Consider the following 21,211-nt stretch of genomic DNA (forward strand, 5'->3'; position numbering starts at 1 on the left):
TGTTACCCCTCACTCTGGATCCCGGAGACTTTCTGGTTCCTTAGTGGCCCAAGATCTAACCCCCTCCCTTCAGAGATTTCCCTGGGTGCCCACAGAAAGAAACAGGAGGCCAGACCGGATTGTTAGTTGTTTTTGTTTTTAATTTGTCTCCAATAAGCAATGTCTTCTGCCCATCCAGCATGGGAAGTGGGTCCCACGTGAAGGGGGCCCACCACCCACTTTGGGAGCTGAAGGCAGAGACTCGGGAGCCCTCCCGGCTCAGACTCCCCCTACGCTGGGTGTGGGTTATATTCAGAGGCCCACACCCACACTGGGGTAGGTTAGGTATGGTTTACTTAGCCACAGGCCCCCGGGGGCAGGAGACAGAGTGGGGGCCCGAAGCTCCCTGTCCTGGAAGAGTTAAAAGTTCTGGGGTAGCCCTGGCCCCGTGGGGGCAGTTAGAGATGAGGGAGGTTACTCCTTAGCCCAGGAGTGGTTAGAGACAGTGGGGCTGGTAGAGATGCCTGTTTAAGCCTTGGCCTCTAGGAGGTGTTAGAGATTTGCTGGGGTTGGGGGCCAGGGTTGCTGGGACCCCAGTTTTGGGGAGGGAGCTGTAAGAGATTGGGGGATGTTCTGAGCTCCCCAGACAAGAACTGCTGGTTAAGAGGGGGCCAGGCCCGGTTGGGGCTCAGCTGTCCCTGAGGAGCTCGGCATCCCGCCTGGGAGATGCAGCTGTCACTGGGGTTTCTCCCTCTCTGTTGTCCTGGCCTCGTCCTTGGCAGGTGGCGGGGACTTCTTGGGGGAAGCTGAAGTGCTGGGGTTGGGGACCCCCGCCCCCGACTGGGCATCTATGCTGGCGTGCTCCCTCCGGACAAGGTCCTCCAGCTCCTTCTGCAGGAGCAAAGGTCACAGAAGTCAAAGGTCACTGTGCATCATGGGGTCAGAGGACCCATGGGGTGGGGAGAGGGTCCAGGGATGGGGCTCAGGACAGGCTGGGGTTGCTCAGCTCCTCACCTTCCATCCAAGGAGCTCAGCAAGGGCCAGGCAGCCCTGGTCGCATTCACCCAGCCAGGCCACGTCCCTGCGGTGCAGCAGGAGATCAGAGTTCCCAGGCGGGCTCGCCCCTGCCTGCTCCTCTCATCTGCCTTCGTGCCCCCGCTCCCACCTCACCCTGTCCCTTCCAGGCTGCCCCAACCCCCGGCGGGGCCTCACCTGTAGGCCTTCTTGGAGTCAAAGTCCATGCCTCCTCCGAGGCCCATAATCATCCCCAGGAAAGGGTCCGACTGTCAGGGAGGGGGTGGGTCAGGGGCAGGAGCAGGGAAGGGAGAGCTAAGAGCACAGACCCTGGAGCCAGGTGGCCTGGGTTTGTATCCTAGCTCTGTGACTTTGTTTTTTTTTTGTTGTTGTTTTTTTGGTTTTTTTTGAGACAAAGTTTCACTCTTGTTGCCCAGGCTGGAGTGCAATGATGTGATCTCGGCTCACTGCAACCTCCACCTCCTGGGTTCAAGTGATTCTCCCGCCTCAACCTCCCGAGTAGCCTGGATGACAGGTGCCCAGCACCATGCCCGGCTAATTTTGTATTATTAGTAGAGACGGGGTTTCACCATGTTGGTCAGGCTGGTCTCGAACTCCTGACCTCAGGTGATCCACCCGCCTCGGCCTCCCAAAGTGCTGGAATTACAGGCGTGAGCCATTGCGCCCAGCCAGCTCAGTGACTTTGGTCAAGTGACTTGTCCTCTCTGTGTCTTAGTTTCCTGTAGAATAGGGGTGATCACAAAACCGCGATGGGGTTGTGGCGCCAGTGAGTTCACGCAGGCTAAGACTTGGGACAGTGTCTGCCCACAGCGTGCGCTGCTTGCCCGGTGACCCTGCCTACTTCCCCTGAGGGGAACACCTAGGAGGGAGCACCTGCCCTAGAGTGAGGCTGCCCAGGAAAAACAGACCTGAGAGACCCAGAGCGTGGACCCAACCCCGCCCCCCGCACTGTCTCTCCTGACCCCTGCACCCCCTCCCACCTCCTCAGTCCCTGGAAGCCCGGCCTTCCTATCTGGCTTCAGCTGGTTTGAGTTGGAATTCTATCACTTGCTCAAAAGGGCAGTGAATGTCCCAGAGGCCTGGAACCCGACCCCTCTGGATTCTAGAGCCCCAGGTTCTGAGCTGAGGAATGCAAAGTGCTGGGGTTCCACAGTGGGGGTTCCCTCTGAGGAAAAGGGTGAGAGGGAAGGGGGAGCCTGTGACGACGGGGGCTTGAAGAAGGGCTCTTACCTGGCCAGCTTTCTCCTTGTTGATGAGCAGGCGAGGGGTGGAGAGGGGTGCCCTGTGGGGAGGGGGAGCTAAGGGGTCAGGGTCTGTCCTGGCCCTGGGTGCCCAGCCGTCCTCCCAGCCACAGCCCCCAACCTACTTGCTGATGAGGGAGGCAAAGGGCTGCACCTGCAAGGAGGTACCCATGACCAGGAGGAGGTCCACCTTCAGGAAGTCCTGCGGGGAGGGGCGTGAGCTTGGGAGCCTCCGCCCAGGCTGCGCCACCGCTCCCTCCCCCGCCCCCAGCAGCAAACCTCCCTGCCGCCCCCCATAGCTGGGGAGGTGACCTTTCCTGAGGCAGGGCCCAGGCTGCCCCCATGGGGCCCAGCACAGGTGGAGGCGGCGGTTGGGGATGCGGGGAGGCTGGGGGGCCACTTACTGACTGCATACAGGAGAAGAAACGCGCTGGGAGGCTCTCACCAAAAAAGACGATATCTGAGGTGGAGACAGATGGACGGACAGAGACAGTGACATGGGGAGGCAGAGAGGACAGGTGGGAGCAATGGCAGACCCGGAGGCCACAGTGGGAGTTGGGAGCAGTGGGGACCGGCCAGGGGCACAGACCCCATTCTCCCCAGGATGGATCTGGGGCACTGTTCAGAGAGACAGAGGTGGCCAGATGTGTGCGGGTGTGGCCTTTGGGAGGGGGTCAGGGGGAGGAGGGGACCCCCACCCAAATCCACCTGGGCAGGTCCCTGGCCAGAGGCTCACCAGGCTTCACCAGGCTCTGACAGTCTTCACACTTGGGCGTCACCTCAGAGAAGATCTTCTCTGGGTATGGGGAAGGGGAAGAAAGAGAAGGCAGTAAGAGGATCTGGGCCGGAGTCTGGAGGTGCAGCACCCCCACCCCTCTTCCACTGTTAACATGAACACACCTCCATCACTTGGAGTGTGATGGGTGTCTCCTGAGGTGTCCACTCTGCTCAGAAAAGACCTCTCTTCTTGTTGTTGCATTTTTTTTGTTTTTTTCTTTCTTTTTTTTTTTGAGATAAGGTCTCACTCTGTTGCCCGGGCTGGAATGCAGTGGCACGATCATGGCTTACTGTAGCCTCAACCTCCCAGCTTCAAGTGATCCTCCTGCCTCAGCCTCCTGAGTAGCTGGGATTACAGGTGCATGCCAGCACGCCCGGCTAAATTTTGTATTTTTTGTAGAGACAGGGTTTCGCCATGTTGCCCAGGCTGGTCTCAAACTCCTGGGCTCAAGCAAATCTGCCCACTTTGGCTTCTCAAAGAGCTGCAATTACAGGTGTGAGCCACTGCGCCCGGCCTTATTGGTTTGTTTGTTTTTTTGAGACAGGTTCTCACTCTGTTGCCCAGGCTGGAGTGTGGTGGTGCAATCATGGTTGAGTGCAGTGGTGTGATCATAGCTTACTGCACCACCGACTTCCCAGGCTCAAGTGATCCTCCTGCCTTAGCCTCCCGAGTAGCTGGGCTCACAGGCATCCACCATCGCACCTGGCTACATTTTATTTTTTTTAGAGATGGGATCTCCCTATGTTGCCCAGGCTGTTCTCAAACTCCTGGGCTCAAGTGATCCACCCACCTCGACGTCCAAAAGTGTTGGGATTACAGGCATGAGCCACTGTGCCTGGCCTTATTTCTTATTGATTTAGGAAGCTTGAAAGCATTTCTGGCCGGGTGTGGTGGCTCACGCCTGTAATCCCAGCACTTTGGGAGGCTGAGGCGAGTGGATCGTTTGAGGTCAGGAGTTTGAGACCAGCCTGGCCAACGTGGTGAAACCCCGTCTCTACTAAAAATATAAAAATTAGCCAGGGGTTGTAGCACGTGCCTGTAATCCCAGCTACTTGGGAGGCCGAGGCAGGGAGAATTGCTTGAACCCGGGAGGCGGAGGTTGCAGTGAGCCGAGATTGCACCACTGCACTCCAGCCTGGGTGACAGAGCAAGACTCCATCTCAAAAAAAAAAAAAAGAAAGAAAGAAAGCATTTCTGTCACTTGCAACCCACTGAATTCTAAGTCATTTGCTCAACTGTCCATTCATTCATTCAGCACACATTTATAAAGCATTGTTTCAATGTCAGTAGTCGGTAATTTTCTTTAAAATATTTCTGCATGGACAGCATGACACCGTGGGTGCTGCCTGTGACGCTGCTGTCAATGACACATAATGGGGGTAATGTGAATTGTACACTGCCCCCAGCTGCTTGCAGTTGGGCTATTCAGGAATCCTCAGCCCAGGGGCACTCAGCTGGCATTTTATCAGAACAGCCACACTCCAGAGGCCCTTCTGCAAATGCTGCAGCTGTCCTTATCTCACAGGGACACCAGAGGCTTTGTTAAATCAGCATAAAGAATGTCAGAAATGGCTTTCCATGAGTGGAATAAGTGACTTCTTGTTTTTTTTTTTTTTTTTTTTTTGAGACAGAGTTTTGCTCTTGTTGCCCAAGCTGGAGTGCAATGGTGCGAACTCAGCTCACTGCAGCCTCCGCCTCCCAGGTTCAAGCGATTCTCCTGCCTCAGCCTCCTGAGTAGCTGGGATTACAGGCGCATGCCACCACACCAGGCTAATTTTTTTTTTTTTGTATTTCTAGTAGAAACGGGGTTTCACCATGTTAGCCAGGCTGGTCTTGAACTCCTGACCTCAGGTGATCTGCCCGCCTTGGCCTCCCAAAGTGCTAGGATTACAGGTGTGAGCCACTGCTCCTGGCCTACTATCATATATTAAAAACAGCCAAAGACAGGAAATCAGGCAGTTGGGCTGCAGTGAGCCATGATCACCCACTGAACTCCCCGCGTGGGCGACAGAGTGAGACTCTGTCTCAAAAACAAACAAACAAAACAAAAAAACCCCAAAGAATTGAGCAGGACAGAATGGGTGCCCACTGCATGGAGACACTGCTCCTGGTGCTGAGAGGAGGCCTGCCCTCAGGATGCCCTCCAGCCTCACCTTTCATCCAGCTTAGCGGGTATTCGTGCCGGCAGCTGGCGCTGACGCAGTGTGATGTGTAGAAGGTGCCGTGCGCCTCCACCAAGTCCTCCTGTTCCAGCCCGGCTATTCGCTCCAGGGTATCTATGTTCTAGAGGGAGAGATGGAGGGAAGAGGGGTGAGGAGTGAGCCACCCCTTGTAGGCCAGAAGGCACAGTAGGGAGTTGAGGGCCACGAGGAGCAGTGAGGTGGTGGGGACAGGTGGAGAAGGGAGGGAGGAGAAGCAAGTGGCAGGGTTTATCTGAAGACTCTTCTGTTCATCCCAATGGTGCCACTTAAAGGGTGACAGTCAAGGCTGCTTAAAGGCAGGGGCCAGGCTGGGCATGGCGGCTCACGCCTATAATCCCAGCACTTTGGGAGGCTGAGGTGGGAGGATCACTTGAGGCCAGGAGTTCAAGACCTGCCTGAGCAACATATCAAGACGCTTGTCTCTACAAAAAATTAAAAAAAAAAAAAAAAAAAAAGGGGCCCAAACCTAAATATCTATGAGGCCAGGCCCACAGCCACTCCACAGCCTGTGTGGCTTTTATTCTGCAAATTCAGGCCATTTGCTTTCATTTTTCAGAAAAAAAATGTTGTTTTATTAGAGCCAGATGCTTTATTTCCACCTGTCATTAATTGCTGAAATTAACATACATTTACAATGTCTCTGTTATTAATGGAGCCCCCTCAGATGTGGCATCCTTGTGCAGTGCGCACCCTGCACAGCTGCATGTGGCAGCTCTAGGCAAGCATTAACATAAATGAATCAGGAGGGCTTACTAGGTGTGGTTTGTTTGTTTGTTTGTTTGTTTGTTTTTTGAGATGGAGTCTTGCTCTGTCACCCAGGCTGGAGTGCAGTGGCACAATCTCGGCTCACTGCAACCTCTGACTCCCAGGTTCAAGAGATTTTCCTGCCTCAGTCTCCCAAGTAGCTGGGATTACAGGCACGCACCACCATGACTGGCTAATTTTTGTATTTTTAGTAGAGATGGGGTTTCACCATGTTGGCTAGGCTGGTCTCGAACTCTGGACCTCGTGATTTGCTTGCCTCGGCCTCCCAAAGTGCTGGGATTATAGACATGAGCCACTGTGCCTAGCCATGTTTTTTTATGTATTTGAGACAAGGTCTCACTCTGTCGCCCAGGCTATAGTGCAGTGGTACAATCATAGCTCACTGCAGCCTCCAACTCCTGGGCTCAAGCAATCCTCCCACCTCAGCCTCCACATCTGGCTGATTTTTAAAATTTTCTGTAGAGATGGGGTCTCACTATGTTGCCCAGGCTGGTCAGCGAGCCTTCTGCCTCAGCCTCCCAATGTGCTGGGATTACAGTGTGAGTCATCATGCCTGGCCCTTCCTTGGCTTTAATCACTATCTTCCCCTTTAGTAGCCAGGGTCCTTTCTTACTATGGCCTGTTTCATAGATGGCATATTCACCTGTGTTCTTTTCTTTTTTTGGAGGCAGGGTCTTGCTCTGTCACTCAGGCTGGAGTGTAGTGGTCTGATCACAGCTCACTGTAGCCTTCACCTCCTGGGCTCAAGCCATCCTCCCACCTCAGCCCACTGAGTAGCTGGGACTACAGGCAAATGCCACCATGCCCGGCTAATTTTTTATCTTTTTAATTATTTTTGTAGAGATGGGGGGTGGGGTGGTCTCCCTATTTGCCCGGGCTGGTCTTGAACTCCTGGGCTCAAGTGATCCTCCCACTTCAGCCTCCCAAAGCGTTGGGATTACAGGCGTGAGACACCATGCCCAGCCACTGTTTTCTTTTCTTTTCTTTTCTTTTTTTTTTTTTTCAGATGGAGTTTCACTCTTGTTGCCCAGGCTGGAGTACAATGGCGCTATCTCGGCTCACTGCAACCACTGCCTCCTGAGTTCAAGCAATTCTCCCTGCCTCCGCCTCTCAAGTAGCTGAGATTACAGGCACCCGCCACCATGCGTGGCTATTTTTTTTTTTTTTTTTGAGACGGAGTCTTGCTCTGTTGCCAGGCTGGAGTGCAGTGGCGCAATCTTGGCTCACTGCAAGCTCCGCCTCCCAGGTTCAAGTGATTCTCCTGCCTCAGCCTTCCAGGTAGCTGGGAACACAGGCACGCGCCACCATGCCTAGCTAATTTTTGTATTTTTAGTAGAGACGGGGTTTCACCATGTTGGTCAGGATGGTCTCGATCTCCTGACCTCGTGATCTGCCCACCTCAGCCTCCCAAAGTGCTGGGATTACAGGTGTGAGCCACTGCGCCCGGCCACTGTTTTCTTTTAAGACAGTGAGACTTTCCATATTAAACAGGTGGGAATGTTCTTTTCTGCACAGACATTTGTGCGCGCTCATTTTTCTTAAAACAACCACCCCCTTTGGAGCAGCTGTTGTTTGCCTGTGAGGAATGCCGCTAAAACAGGTGCTGACAGAGGACACTGGCAGAGGTTACGCAGAGATGGCTCGCATGTGTGGCCCAGGGCCAAACTGACAGCGTTTCCCAGGGACTCCAGAAACAACGGGAAGGGTTTGTTTCCCTTCAAGGGCAGAAAGAATGCTCTAACTGCCTTCTGGGCTCCCTACCAGCAACCACCTTATCTCCAAAGCCTACAGACAAGAGTCACTGTCACTGTTCCCACACGCCCTGTAACTTTCCTCCCTTGCCCACTATTCTAAATCTTGGTTTTGCCTTTGGTACTTGACTCAGTCTACCCACTGACTCCCTCACATGTGAGTGAGCAATTTGCAAATAACTGAACAGTAAGCAAATAACTGAACAGCGTGGAAAAGAACCACCGAAATACCTCTGCGTTCTGTTATTCTTTGACAACATGGTTTTTTTTTTTTTTTCTTTTGACAGGATTTTGCTCTACTGGTCCAGGCTGGAGTACAGTAGCTTGATCATAGCTCACTGTAGCCTTGAAATCCTGGGCTCAAGCAATCCTCCTCTCTCAAGCTCCCAAGTAGCTGGGACTACAGGTGTGCACTACCATGCCTGGCTAATTTTTTTTTTTTTTTTTTTGAGATGGAGTCTTGCTCTGTTGCCCAGGTTGGAGTGCAATGGCGGAATCTTGGCTCACTGCAACCTCTGCCTCCCAGGTTTAAGTGATTCTCCTGCCTCAGCATCCTGAGTAGCTGGGATTACAGGCACGCACCACCACACCCAGCTAATTTTTGTATTTTTAGTAGAGACAGGGTTTCACCATGTTGGCCAGGCTGGTCTTAAACTCCTGACGTTGACTTTGGCCTCCCAAAGTGCTGGGATTACAGACGTGAGCCACCGCGCCTGGCCTTTATATAATAGTTTGTATGTGATGTGTCATTTTTTTTCTTTTTTTGAGACGGAGTCTCTCTCTGTCACCCAGGCTGGAGTGCAGTGGGGCAATCTCAGCTCAGGGCAACCTCCACCTCCCAGGTTCAAGCAACTCTCATGCCTCAGCCTCCTGAGTAACTAGGACTACAGGCATGTGCCACCACGCCTGGCTAATTTTTGTATTTTTCGTAGAGATGGGGTTTACAACAGCACCCCCTTTCCCGAACACATACACCGTTTCTGACTCCCCTTCCAGCTTAACTGTGTTCCAGGGACCCATGACCATCTTATATGCTCAGTATATGGTGTCTCCATCTTGTCCATCATCTCCCTCCCTGCTGTAGGGAATCAACTCAGTGAACATTTACTTTGACAGAAGCTGACAAACAAGGGCCAGCGGGGTCTTGGGGTGAGTGTCATGACATCAACCACAAAAAGCACTTGGCTTCAAGCAAGCTGTTATCATATCTGAGCCACGTCCTGGAATAATGGTGACTCTCTGGGCAGAAGGTTTATTCTGAGCCCGGAGTCTCCCTATGTTGCCCAGGCTGGTCTTGAACTCATGGGCTCAAGCGATCTCCCACTTTGGCCTCCCAAAGTGTGGGGATCACAGGACTCCTCCTCTTGGAAGAAGGAGGCCTCCGCTGCCCTCTGCCTCCTACCAGCCCCAGGTGGGAACACCTCGCCCACCTGAGAAATCTGAACTTAAAGCCAGTTGTTCCTCCCCCTGGCGGTAGCTTTTGGGGCTGCAGGTGCCAAACTGCAGGTACAGGGAGAAAACACTAGAACACTTATTTATTTTCAATGTTACCACTCTTTTTTGTTTGTTTGTTTGTTTTTTTAAATTGAGATGGAGTCTTGCTCTGTCACCCAGGCTGGAGTGCAGTGGCACAATCTTGACTCACTACAACCTCTGCCTCCCAGGTTCAAGCGATTCTCCTGCCTCAGCCTCCCGAGTAGCTGGGGTTACAGGCACCACCACACCTGGCTAATTTTTGTATTTTTAGTAGAGACCAGATTTCATGATGTTGGACAGGCTGGTCTTGAACTCCTGACCTCGTGATCTGCCCACCTCGGTGTCCCAAAGTGCTGGGATTACAGGCGTGAGCCACCGCGCCCGGCCACCTGTTTTATAATTCGGGGTTCTGAGGTGTGATCTAGAGCTTGAATTAATACTGTTGTAGTGCATCATGTCATTTCTATACATATTCATAAAACAGGTAGAGGCAGCAACATTTTGTTGTTGTTTTGATTTGTTTTTTGTTTCTTTGAAACCAGGTCTCCCAGGCTACAGTACAGTGGCACCATCATAGCTCACTGCAGTCTTGACTTCCTGAACTCAAGCAATCCCCCTACCTCAGCCTCCTGAGTAGCTGGGGCTACAGGCACACGCCACCCTGCCCAGCTAATTTTTGTATTTCTTGTAGAGACAGGGTCTCCCTATGTTGCCCAGGCGGGTCCCAAACGCCTGGGCTCGAGCTATCTCTCGCTTTGGCCTCCCAAAGTGCTGGGATTACAGGTGTGAGCCACTGTGCCCAGCCCATCAAGATTTTTTTACTGTTAGGGGTGTGAGACTCTCCAAACCAGAAGCCAACAATGTGAGCCATCCTTGCTTGAATGCCCCAGGGAGAGGCCCTTGGCTAAGCACCTGACGTGTACGAGACATGTTTATAATTGGGCAAAGCACAAAAAACTATAAAAAGGTGCCCCTTCCTTAAGGCACAACATCTACTTGTTGGACACGTGTCATAGTGTATGGATTTTGTTAGATGAAGTCACTTTGGAAACTCGCTCATAACCAATGTGAAATCTGGGGTGCCTATAGTGCACACAGAGTCCCTTCAGCCATAGGCTCCTTCCACATCACACATGGGATGGCCCTGAGAGGAGGTCACTGCCACCGCACTGCAGACCTGAGAGGGCAGACCTGAGAGGGCAAACCTTTTCTGGCCCCTGTTTGACGGAAGGGGAAACTGAGGCAGAGAAGACGTGACTCACGGCAGGTCATGCAGCAAGGAGGCAGTAGGCCAAGCCCTGGCCCCGCATTGCTGGAGTCCCCGCCTGAGCTCTTGGGCACGCAGCTCTGCTCCTCTGCTGAGGACACCATGCCCGTTCCACCCGCCCATCCTCCTCCCAGGATGCTCGCATCCGCCTACCTGCGTGTAGCAGCGCAGGAGTAGCCCCTTGTCCTTCAGCAGGCGCATGAAGTAGTGACAGATGGTTGGCTGCAGGGAAGAGCGACAGCACTGCTGACGACTGCAGGGAACAGCCACAGGCCACTGCCGCATGCCAGGAACTGTTCTAGGCACTGTGACTGTTTTACCCCCAGGGAACCGTCACAGCAGCCGCGTCGGGGAGAGACCACTGCTATCCCCAGATCACAGATGAGGAAACTGAAGGACAGGGAAGGGGATTGTGTTGCCAAAGTCACACGGTGGGTAAGCTGCAGAGCTGAGATTCACACCCAGGCAGCCCGGCTGCAGGGTCCCGGGCTCTCAACGGCATCATTAGTCAGCTAAGCCTCGCAGCAGCCCTCTTCAGACAGTACCATTAGCTTCACTTCACAGGAGGCAAATCGGAGGCTCAAGGTCGTAAGATGAAGACACGAGGAACCAGGACTTGAACCGAGGCAGTCTGGGCCCAGCACCCATGTACTTAATGGCTACATAATATTTGTCTGCAGGGCCTTGGCGGGGCTTCTCATGCGTGCCCTCCCCCAACCCTTCCTGTTTCGCCCCCTGCAAAACAAAGATCTCACCTTGAACTGCCCAGGATAGAGTTCCTTGGCGAGGGCGAAGAAGGGTTCCGGATGTTTCTGTAGGAGAGACAGCCAGAGGGCCAGATGCCCCAGGTAGCGTGAGGGTTGGAGCCAGGTGACCCCATCCCCACCCCTCACAGACGCCCCTTCCTGGGGGAGCACAAACCTTGAAATAGCTGATCTCAAAGATGGCCTCTGGGTAGGGAAGATGGTACTTCTCTAGGTTGTCATAGAGGCCGGTGGATGGAGAGCGAAAGTCGGGGATGCCTGCGGCTAGGAAAGGGGGGTCAGGGAGCAGTTGGTCTATACCATACTAACCCTCCCAGGACAGGGCTCAGATAGGGCTCCTCCCCAGCCCTTGGGAGGGACTCCCCAGTTCCTGGGGGTAGCTGCTGGGGGAGAAGGGTTACTTACATGTGGAGATTCCAGCTCCCACCAAACAGATGACTCTGCGACCTGGAGGAGAGGAACTTATGCACCATATGACACCGTTTGCTCAGTCCCTACGATAGCACCACCCATCACAGCCCCTGACATCGTTTACTCCATGCCAGGCCCTGGGGCAAGCATCTCAGATGCATGACGGGCCTTCCAATCATCTAGACGGGGATGGTGTTAACATCCCCATTTTATAAATGAGAAAACTGGGGCTCAGATAGGGGAAGAAGTCACACAATCAACTGCGGAAGAGCCAGCCAGCGGATAAAGAATCCAGTGTTGGGCTGGGTGCAGTGGCTCATGCCTGTAATCCCAGAACTTTGGGAGGCTGAGGCAGGCGGGTCATCTGAGGTCAAGAGTTTGAGCCCAGCCTGGCCAACATGGCAAAACCTCATCTCTACTGAAAATACAAAATTAGCCAGGCGTGGTGGCACGTGCCTGTAATCTCAGCTACTTGGGAGGCTGAGGCAGGAGAATCACTTGAACCCGGGAGGCGGAGGTTGCAGTGAGCCGAGATCATGCCATTGCACTCTAGCCTGGGTGACAGAGCGAGACTCCATCTCAAAAAAAGGAAAAAAAAAAAAAAAAGAGAATCCACTGTTGGAAATCACACCAACTTGGACTTGAGAAAAGGCCACTTTAGGATAAGAACCCTGGGCTGAGCAGAAATAGCTAGCTGGTGGCTGGTGAGTAGCCACCAGGCCATAGTACCCTGGCATCTGCCCATCAGCTGATAGACAGGCACAAGTGTGATATGCTGTGGATCAGATGCCTCTGGGATGCCCTGTCCAAGGGAGGACAGCAAAGGTGAACAGAGCACAAAGCCTGCCACAGCTTCAGCCCTGAGCTTCAGCTCTGAGATGCCATCAGGCCAGGCCTGGTTGAATCCAGTGGTGGCTACATGTGGTCTGGATTCAGGGGACCTGGGGTCAAATCCTGGCTCTGCCACTTGGCAACTGTTTGACCCTACACTGAGTCGTGACCTTTTTGTGCCTCCTTTTCCTCCTCTGTTCAGATCACTTCCATAATGATCTTACAGGTATAATGTGAATATCAAATAATAGGGCACTTGTAAAGTGCTGAGCCCAGTGCCTGGCAAATAGTGAAGCCTCAATTAAGTGGTTAAAAAGAAATTTTTAGGGCCGGGCCCGGTGGCTCACTCCTGTAATCCCAGCACTTTGGGAGGCCGAGGGGGGCAGATCACCTGAGGTCAGGAGTTCAAGACCAGCCTGGCTAACATGGTGAAACCCCGTCTCTACTAAAAGTACAAAAATTAGCCGGGCGTGGTGGCACGCGCCTGTAATCCCAGCTACTCGGGAGGCTGAAGCAGGAGAATCGCTTGAACCCGGGAGGCAGAGGTTGCAGTGAGCCATGATAGCGCCACTGCACTCCAGCCTGGGTAACAGAGTGAGACTCTGTCTCAAAATAATAATAATAATAAATTTTTAGAGCAGTGAGGTGAGGGTTGGAGCCTCACCTTTAAATTTTTGCAGAGAGGGGGTCTCGCTTATTGCCCAGGCTAGTCTTGACCTACTGGCCTCAAGCGATCCTCCTGCTTTCAGCCTCCCAAAATGGTGGGATTATAGGCCTGAACCACCACTCCCGGCCTCAACTAATTGTTATTTTTCATTACTATCTCCTCCTGGGCACCCTCATGAGCCAATTACCCCAGAATCCAGGTGCAGGAGGACACAAGGAACAAATGCTTTGTAGCCACTGCCTGTGTTGTCTTTGGGGCCTGCCCAGGCTAAAAGATGGCTGCAGACAGCTGCTCGCCTGCCGCAGGAGAGGGAGGCTCAGGGCAGCAGGCCTGGCTGCCTGAGGAGGGAGACAGTGGCAGCTGGAGGACAGGGACACAGGAGAAGATGTCCTCAACAAAAGGCTGCTCAGGAACCACAAAGGGTCGATTGTTCTAGTTGAGGACTGCCAAGGGCCTGGTTTCTCAGACTTTGGTGACCTCAACTTGTGGCAAGAAATATAAATTTCAGGCCGGGACGGGTGGTTCATGCCTCTAATCCTAGCACTTTGGGAGGCCGAGGAGGGTGGATTGCCTGAGCTCAGGTGTTCAAGACCAGCCTGGGCAACATGGTGAAACCCTGTCTCTACTAAAATACAAAAAATTAGCCAGTCGTGGTGGTGTGCGTCTGTAATCCCAGCCACTCGGGAGGCTGAGGCAGGAGAATTGCTGGAACCCGGGAGGTGGAGGTTGCAGTGAGCTGAGATTGTGCCACTGCACTCCAGCCTGGGCAACAGAGCAAGACTCCATCTCAAAAAAAAAAAAAGAAAAAGAAATATAAATTTCATGCTGACTCAGTAAGTGGACACCTATCCACCACATCTGAAATAAGCCTCCTGTAGTAATAACCACGGCACACCCTGCCACAGCTCTCGCTATGTTCCAGGCCCTGCTCTAAGCATTTGCATTTTTATTTATCTTTTAAATTTTATTACTTTATTTTTTTTTAGAGTCAGAGTCTCACTGTGTTGCCCAGGCTGCAGTGCAGTGGTGCCATCATAGCTCACTGCAGCCTCCAATTCCTGGGCTCAAACAATCCTCCCTTCTCAGCCTCCTGAGTAACTGAGACTACAGGCAACGCCCCCATATCTGACTATTTTTTTTTTTCTTGTAGAGATGGCGGGGGGGTCTCACTATGTTGCCCAGGCTGGTCTTGAACGCCTGGCGTTGAGTGATCCTCCCACGATGGCCTCCCAAAGTGCTGAGATTACATACATGAGCCACTGCCCCTGGTCCTATATTAATTTATTTAGCCCCGCCAATAACCTTATGAGTTAGATACTATAATCATTATCCTCATTTTATGAAACAGGCCTGGTCAATCAGAGTGCAGTAATTCACTCAGCAATGGAGAAGCGACCCAGGTCTGGCCAATCAGAGGCATGGGGGCAGGCATTTGACTCAACCGGGACCAATGGGAGCCAATCTCTGCTGTTTGGTTTGAACTACTGGGAAAAGGTGCTCTCTCGGTGGCAGCTCCTAGGCTAGTGGAACCTGCATTTGCAGCTGCCAGGAGTTACCTTTACCCCAAAACAAGAAAAGCAGCATCAGAGAGAGTTATGATTTTTAACAAAGTGGAAGCACCTGGACCCAGCCGTGCTTCAAGCTGGATTAGAGCCAACACACTCCTTTTTGGCTTAAGCCAGTTCCAGCTGGGTTTCTTGCTACTTATAAAGAAAAGGTTTCAATAAATGGTTCAAGTGGCTGGGGATGGGAGGTCACTTGGGGCCAGGAGCCAGGCAAAGTGGCCCAATCCTGACAGGGGACTCACAGCGTTCGCTCTGCATGTACCGGGCCACCCCTTCCAAGGTCAGCTCGTCCAGCAGACGCTCCTTCTGGCTGCCCAGGCTGAGCGTCTGGGAGAATAAGTTCCGCAGGAAGTCCACTGACCGGAAAGAAGAGAGACAGCGGCAGGACGGGCATTCAGCCAGGGGCATGGATGTCTCCGGCACCCTGGCCCCAGCCCTGGGGTTCCCGGCCTCCCCACATCTAAAGGCACAAGGCCCGGCCCAGCCAGCGGCCTCCAGGAGCCTGCTCTGGCACTGGTACCCAACCCACTGCTACATACTTTGGATGTCACTCCTGATGGAGTTGAGGAGGTATCACCCACACCCCTGCCCTGAAATCCCCCCGCCCCCCAGAACCCTGCTCCCTGTCCCTCCAGGAAGATACTCACTGTCTGCTTCTCCACCAGCGGCTCCTCCCTCAGAGTCTGAATCTGAGTCCTGGAAGGGGTGGGGTGGAGTGGCCAGGCCCGAGAGGTGGGATTAGGGAGGGAGGAGAGGGGGTGATACCAGGTTTGGGGAAAAGGCTGTGGCAGGAAGGTGGCCTGAGGAAGTGCGGGGTGGTGGAGAGACTGCACTGGGGCTAGCTCCAGGGCTCTGGGACAGGCTGCCGGGGTTGGAGTCCTGGCCATGCCCGTCCCCAGGAGCAAGACCTCATGTGAGTGGCTTTGCTTTGCTTTTCTTTTTTGAGACAGTGTCTCGCTCTGTTGCCCAGGCTGGAGTGCACTGGTGCAGTCACAGCTTGCTGCAGCCTCAACCTCCCAAGCTCAAGGGATCCTCCCACCTCAGCCTCCCAAGTAGCTGGGACCACAGGCACGTGCCACCATGCCAGGCTCATTTTTTGTTTGTTTGTTTGTTTGCTTTGTAGAGACGAGGTCTTCCTCTGTTGCCCAGGGTGGTCTTGAACTCCTGGGCTCAAGCAAGTCTCCTGCCTCGGCCTCCCAAAGTGCTGGGATTACAGGCGTGAGCCACTGTGCCTGGTCGTGACTTTGATTTTCTAAGTCTTGGTGTCCCTCACCTTGGAAAGGGAGCTTGGGTGCTGGGCGCAGCACCAGGGGCGGGGGAAGTGCTTGGTAAGCGCTGGCTGTTGCTGTTATTATCACAGCCTGGGGTCTTCCCTTCGTTCCCGGGTCCCCTGGAGCGTGGGCCTGCTGTCCCTTCCCAGCAGCCCTGGGGGCCTCTGAATAATGTCCCAAGTCACTCTGGGAATGATTCCAATGCAAAGCCTTGGCCCTCACTTCAAGGACCTATGTGCCCCCTGCTCGAGGCCTCAGACACTCTGCCCACCTCTCCAGCAACCTCTGTCTCCTTCCTCGAAGCCTCCCCTCAGCCCAGCTCCAGACTGGCAGGTCTCTGGGACTCTGTCCAGGGCCTCTCTGCTTTCTCTTTCCACTTTCCTGGGGTTACCTGTCTCATCCATGCCAATGACCTCTGCCTCGTCACTCATGATACCATCTCTCTGCCCTCAGATCCGGGGTTCCCTGGCTTCCTGGACACCTTGCCCTAGGTGCCCCCCAGCCTCTCACTCCTACTATGTCCCAAATGGACCCTGGCATCTCCTCCAAGCCCATCCTCCTCCCAGGCCTCATCTCAATGCGATCGTACTGTCCCCCCCATCAGCCAGATGTTTCCTGCCCCCGCCTCCCTCCTCGCCCTCCTGCCACAGCCCTTCAGCTCCAGAGCATGTACGCTGAGCCTCCTAAGGGTCTGTCCACCAACCCCCTTTCCCTCCCCGGCGCTCCACCTGGTCCAGCCTGTCCTCTCCTCCGGGGGTCCTGCCCCAGCCTCCTCCCCCAGCCTCCCAGCCTCAGTCTCCACCTCCCATCCACCCTGCTGCCCTGCATGTGAGGCTGTCTGGGTCAGCTCGCCCCTCTCCACTTCAAAGGCCCTTCTCTCTGGCTTCTGCAGTCTTCCCAGACATCTATGGAATTGCCAGGATGTCCACAAGGGCAGGGACTTTGTCTGGGTGCCCAGCACTGAGAACAGGGTCTGGCTCCTGGCAGGAGCTCCAGGAGCTCCTCTACCTTGGAATGAATGCCTGCTTCAGGCTGGACCACGGCTGGGCCCTGCAATGGATTTCACCAAAATGCAGTTCTGACCAAGCCACCACCTCAGACAACTCCCTTCCCCGGATACTCACTGCTCTGCGTCCAAGTCTTTTTGAATAAGACCCTCCCTTCCGAACATACGACAATTTAAAAAATTGCTTTTTAAGACTGTGCAACTCCGGCTGGGCGTGGTGGCTCATGCCTGTAATCCCACCACTTTGGGAGGCTGAGGCAGGAAGGTTGCTTGATGCCAGGAGTTCAAGACCAGCCTGGGCAACACAGTGAGACTCTGTCTCTATTTAAAAAGAGAGAGAAAGGCTGAGCACGGTGGCTCACGCCTGTAATCCCAACACTTTGGGAGGCTGAGGTGGGTGGATCACGAGGTCAGGAGATCGAGACCATCCTGGCCAACATGATGAAACCCCGTGTCTAATAAAAATACAAAAAATTAGCCAGGCATGGTGGCACGTGTCTGTAGTCCCAGCTATTCAGGAGGCTGAGGCAGGAGAATCGCTTGAACCTGGGAGGTGGAGGTTGCAGTCAGCGAGATCACCCCACTGCACTCCAGCCTGGGTGACAGAGCGAGACTCCGTCTCAAAAAAAAAGAGAGAGAGAAAGAGAGAGTGAGAATGAGAGAGAGAGAGAGACAGAGAGAAAGAGAGATTGGACAACCTCTGCAAAAACCTTGATTATACTCATGTATACTTCAACAACATATAACTTGCGGCACTCACCTTGTAATTGCCCAAGCCCACCCTTATAAAGATAACCACTGTTAGCTAAGCTTAATGGAAATTACTCCAGTTTTCTCTGCATAAAACTAATATTTTTTACAGAAATAGGTCATAGTACAATACAACATCTTGAGTTTTCGGCAGAACAATATGCTACAGACCCACCTAATTTAAAAAATAATTTTTTAAAAAAGAGACGGCATCTTGCTATGTTGCCCAGGCTGGTCTCAAAACTCCTGGGCTCAAGTGATCCCCCTGCCTCCCAAAGTGCTGGGATTACAGGTGTGAGCCACCGTGCCCGGCCTCACCTCGTTTTTCAGAGCAGCTACATAGTATTGGATTGTATGGATGAACCATAGTTCATTTAACCCATCCACTGACAGCCATTTGGACTGTTTCCAGTTTTGCCCTGTGACGGACAATGCTGCATTTTACATCCTCGCCTCTCTCTCTTTGGGACTGAGGATCCTTTTTAACATTCAACCTTTTTCTCTGACAGTGGTCGTGCTTTGGGAGCCAGGCGAGTGAGTTGCCACAGCCTAACAGGAGGCTCTTATATCCTTAGCAAAGCTCCACTGTGCATTTGTGAGGTATTCTGATGCCCGCTTCTGCACCACCCCACGTCTGAAAGGCAATCTCAGGGGTGTGGGTGGGCTGGCACTCTTTCAGGCTGTACACAGTGAGGCTGTGTGGAAGGCCTGTGCCCAGCATGTGTCTGCAGCTTGGCCTAAGGGAGAGCCGGAGGTGCTGACGGGGGCCTTCAAGCTCCTATGAGACTGCCTGTCCACCTCTCCTGGCAGCCTCTGACAGGTGGCGTGCCCAGTGCTGGGGGACTCAAACCCTTCCCTGCTCCTGTAGCCGAGGGACGGGGGATAAGTGACTTAACAACTCTGCCTCAGATTCTGCATCTGTAAAATGGCCGTGATAGGCGTTTCTCTTCACAGGGATGCCAGGAAGATGAAATTGAGATGAGGCACGTTTGGCACTAAACAGTGGGCCCAGCTTTAGTAAGCCGTCAGTAAATGCTAACCACGACTATAACAAGCTGACCACCACCAGCCACCCAATTATGGAACACATCACACCCCTTCATGCCCCCCAGGTCTTTGCACAAGCGATACCTGTTGTGTGGATCACCATTTCTCACCTTGTCTAAGAAAATTCTAAGTCACTCTTCACTTATGCTGTGTCTGTATCTTGGTCTGACAGCTAGACCAGCCTGTGGATTCCTCCAGGGAATGGCCTGGCTAGAATCTTCTTTGACCCAGAAAATTTTCTCTGTGCTCCCACAGTACCCTGAGTTTCTTTACTTTTCTTCCTTTTTTTTTTTTTGAGACCGTGTTTTGCTCTGTCGCCCCGGTTGGGGTGCAGTGGCACAGTCAAGGCACACTACGGCCTTAACCTCCTGGGCTTAAGCAATCCTCCCCCAACTCAGCCTCCTGAGTAGCTGGCAATGCAGGCATGCACCACTACACATGGCTAATTTTTAAATATTTTGTAGAGGTGGGGGCCTCCCTATGTTGCCAAGACTGGTCTGGAACTCCTGGGCTCAAGCGATCCTCCTACCTCAGCCTCCCAAAGTACTGGGATTACAAGCATGAGCCACTGTGTCTGGCCCTGAGTTACTTTCTTTCTTTTTTACTTTTTAGAGAAAGGGTCTTGCTCTTTCACCCCGGCTGGAGTGCAGTGATGCAATCATAGCTCACTGCAGCCTCAAACTCCTGGGCTCAAGCGATCCTCGCGCCTCAGTCTCCTGAGTTATTGGAATTACAGGCATAAGCCACTGCATCTGGCCCCCTGAGTTACTTTCGTCATCACGCTGTGAGATCATTTTTTCCCATCACTTGTCCACGAGATCTGTGCGTTCCAAGACCAAATGGGATACCTGTCTCTTCCAGTCCCAGGACAAATGTGGTTCAGAAGGGATGGCAGGCAGTGGCAAGGAAGAAGGAAAGTTTGGGAGGACAGGCCTGGACTTGAGGCTGGAAACTCTTCTCTGACAATCCCCAGAATCTGCCTTTCCCCAGAAAGCTGCACTGGGTGGTGTGAGGGATTGGGGCAATGAGCCGAGGGCCCTGGGGTGACTGTTTCCCCTTTGCCACCTCCCCCCAGTGTGGGATGTGGAACAAGTCCGTCTCTCTCCTCCCCTCCACCCTTTCCCCCATCTCACCTGAGCCTCCTGCACCTTCCCTGCCTGGGTCTCCAGAGGGTGAGAGGCTGGGGGAGGGGAGCAGAGGTGGTTACAGTGGGGAGAACGATTAAGGGGGGAATAAAGGGGTTCAAATGGTCAGTGAGGGGGCAAGAACACCCACCAACCTAGTTACACTGGGATGGGATGGTGGTAAAAATGGAGCAGAGGGAGGGAGGGGACGGAGAAAAGATCTTATCTACATGCAAAGTGATGCCGGGAGAGGTGATTAGTGAGGGGCAGAGAGGCTGGAGAGGAAGATTTAGGGGGACAGGGAGAAAGTAGGGGCTTTTGCCCAGGCTGGTCTTGAACTCCTGGGCTCAAGCGATCCAACCACCTTGGCCTCCCAAAGTACTGGGATTACAAGCATGAGCCATTGTTTCTGGCCCTGACTTACTTTCTTTCTTTTTTACTTTTTAGAGAAAGGGTCTCGCTCATGTCACCCAGGTTGGAGTGCAATAGTGCGATCATAGCTCACTGCAGCCTCAAATTCCTGGGCTCAAGCGATCCTCCTCCTCCTACCTAGGGGATTCAGGGCATGAAGGAACACTCAGGAGGAGTTAGGAAGGACACGACAGTGTGTGAGTGTGTGTGCGGGGAGGGTTAGATTTACAAGGCAGAGGGAAGTTTAGAAAGGAAAAGAGAAGGGAAGAGACGCTTTGGCTGGGAGGCAGGTTTAGGAGGGAGGTGCAGTGGTGCAGTGGAGGCGGTAGGTTTAGGAGAGGCGCGGAACAAGGGGAAGCCATAGGAGGGGTCAGCAGGGGTCCCTCAGCATCCTCTGGTTGCCTCTAACAATCAGGTACCCATAGCAAGCGGGACCGGGGCAACTTATGTTCTTTGCAGCGAGGGACCTTAGCAACCAAGGTGCGAGAAACACGCGATCATTGGCAACTTGGCAAGTGGATGTGGTAAACGAACCCTGAACACACTGCGACCCAGAAACCCACCAGCCTAGCGATACAGATCGCTAAGCAACAGCCCTCAGAATCCCACTCCCCGAAGCGCTCCCTACTTCCCGCCCCACCGCGGCCACCCTTGGGCCCCGGGGCCTGCAGCATTCAGCCAGGCCCCGGCGCGGCCCGACCCTCCTACCCGGATCCCCGACTCACGGTCTGGCTCTGCCATGGGCGCGGTGCTGAAGCCCTTGAGGCTGTCACCGACCGCTCTGTCCCGTCACCAACCACTGTGTCCCGTCACCGACTGCTCTGTCCTGTCACCGACTGCTCTGTCCCGTGACGGCACCAGAAATGGGAGT

At 53.5% G+C, this 21,211-nt stretch overlaps 1 protein-coding gene across 7 annotated transcripts, besides 3 other annotated features; it reads right to left on the bottom strand.

The window, feature by feature from the left end:
* On the bottom strand, positions 115 to 21,178 carry SIRT2 (sirtuin 2). Of its 7 annotated transcripts, NM_012237.4 has the most exons (16): positions 21,066 to 21,178; positions 19,939 to 19,985; positions 15,379 to 15,427; positions 14,974 to 15,087; positions 11,663 to 11,704; positions 11,415 to 11,521; positions 11,249 to 11,305; positions 10,647 to 10,715; positions 5,187 to 5,316; positions 2,992 to 3,051; positions 2,660 to 2,715; positions 2,381 to 2,457; positions 2,245 to 2,296; positions 1,192 to 1,262; positions 994 to 1,060; positions 120 to 870 (listed from the first exon to the last, which is right to left on the bottom strand). In NM_012237.4, the coding sequence occupies exons 1-16, from the start codon at positions 21,079 to 21,081 to the stop codon at positions 715 to 717; spliced, it is 1,170 nt and encodes a 389-aa protein (NP_036369.2). In that variant the 5' UTR covers positions 21,082 to 21,178; the 3' UTR covers positions 120 to 714. The 7 variants fall into 7 exon arrangements, 6 of the variants coding, with proteins under 6 accessions (NP_036369.2, NP_085096.1, XP_047294424.1 ...); NM_030593.3 differs by lacking the exon at positions 19,939 to 19,985; XM_047438468.1 differs by lacking the exons at positions 19,939 to 19,985; positions 21,066 to 21,178 and adding an exon at positions 18,916 to 19,935.
* Positions 212 to 331: an enhancer, noted in NCBI's record as "active region_14602". NCBI's record gives its function as "activates an Ori minimal core promoter by ATAC-STARR-seq in GM12878 lymphoblastoid cells {active_cell/tissue: GM12878}" and the evidence as "EXISTENCE:reporter gene assay evidence [ECO:0000049][PMID:35858748]".
* Positions 372 to 471: an enhancer, noted in NCBI's record as "active region_14603". NCBI's record gives its function as "activates an Ori minimal core promoter by ATAC-STARR-seq in GM12878 lymphoblastoid cells {active_cell/tissue: GM12878}" and the evidence as "EXISTENCE:reporter gene assay evidence [ECO:0000049][PMID:35858748]".
* Positions 15,125 to 15,626: an enhancer, noted in NCBI's record as "H3K4me1 hESC enhancer chr19:39384205-39384706 (GRCh37/hg19 assembly coordinates)". NCBI's record gives its function as "activates a minimal SCP1, AML or CMV promoter by ChIP-STARR-seq in primed H9 embryonic stem cells {active_cell/tissue: H9 hESC(primed)}" and the evidence as "EXISTENCE:reporter gene assay evidence [ECO:0000049][PMID:30033119]".

This window comes from Homo sapiens, chromosome 19, assembly GCF_000001405.40.
Source record: "Homo sapiens chromosome 19, GRCh38.p14 Primary Assembly".
NCBI lineage: Eukaryota > Metazoa > Chordata > Mammalia > Primates > Hominidae > Homo > Homo sapiens.

Bases quoted from the DNA above. Each gene is read 5' to 3' on its own strand.
- SIRT2 (NM_012237.4), bottom strand. The intron at 10,716-11,248 runs GTGAGATCTTTG...TCTTCCCTGCAG, and splicing joins TCTATCCTGGGCAGTTCAAG to CCAACCATCTGTCACTACTT. The intron at 5,317-10,646 runs GTAGGCGGATGC...CTCTCCCTCTAG, and splicing joins TCCTGCGCTGCTACACGCAG to AACATAGATACCCTGGAGCG.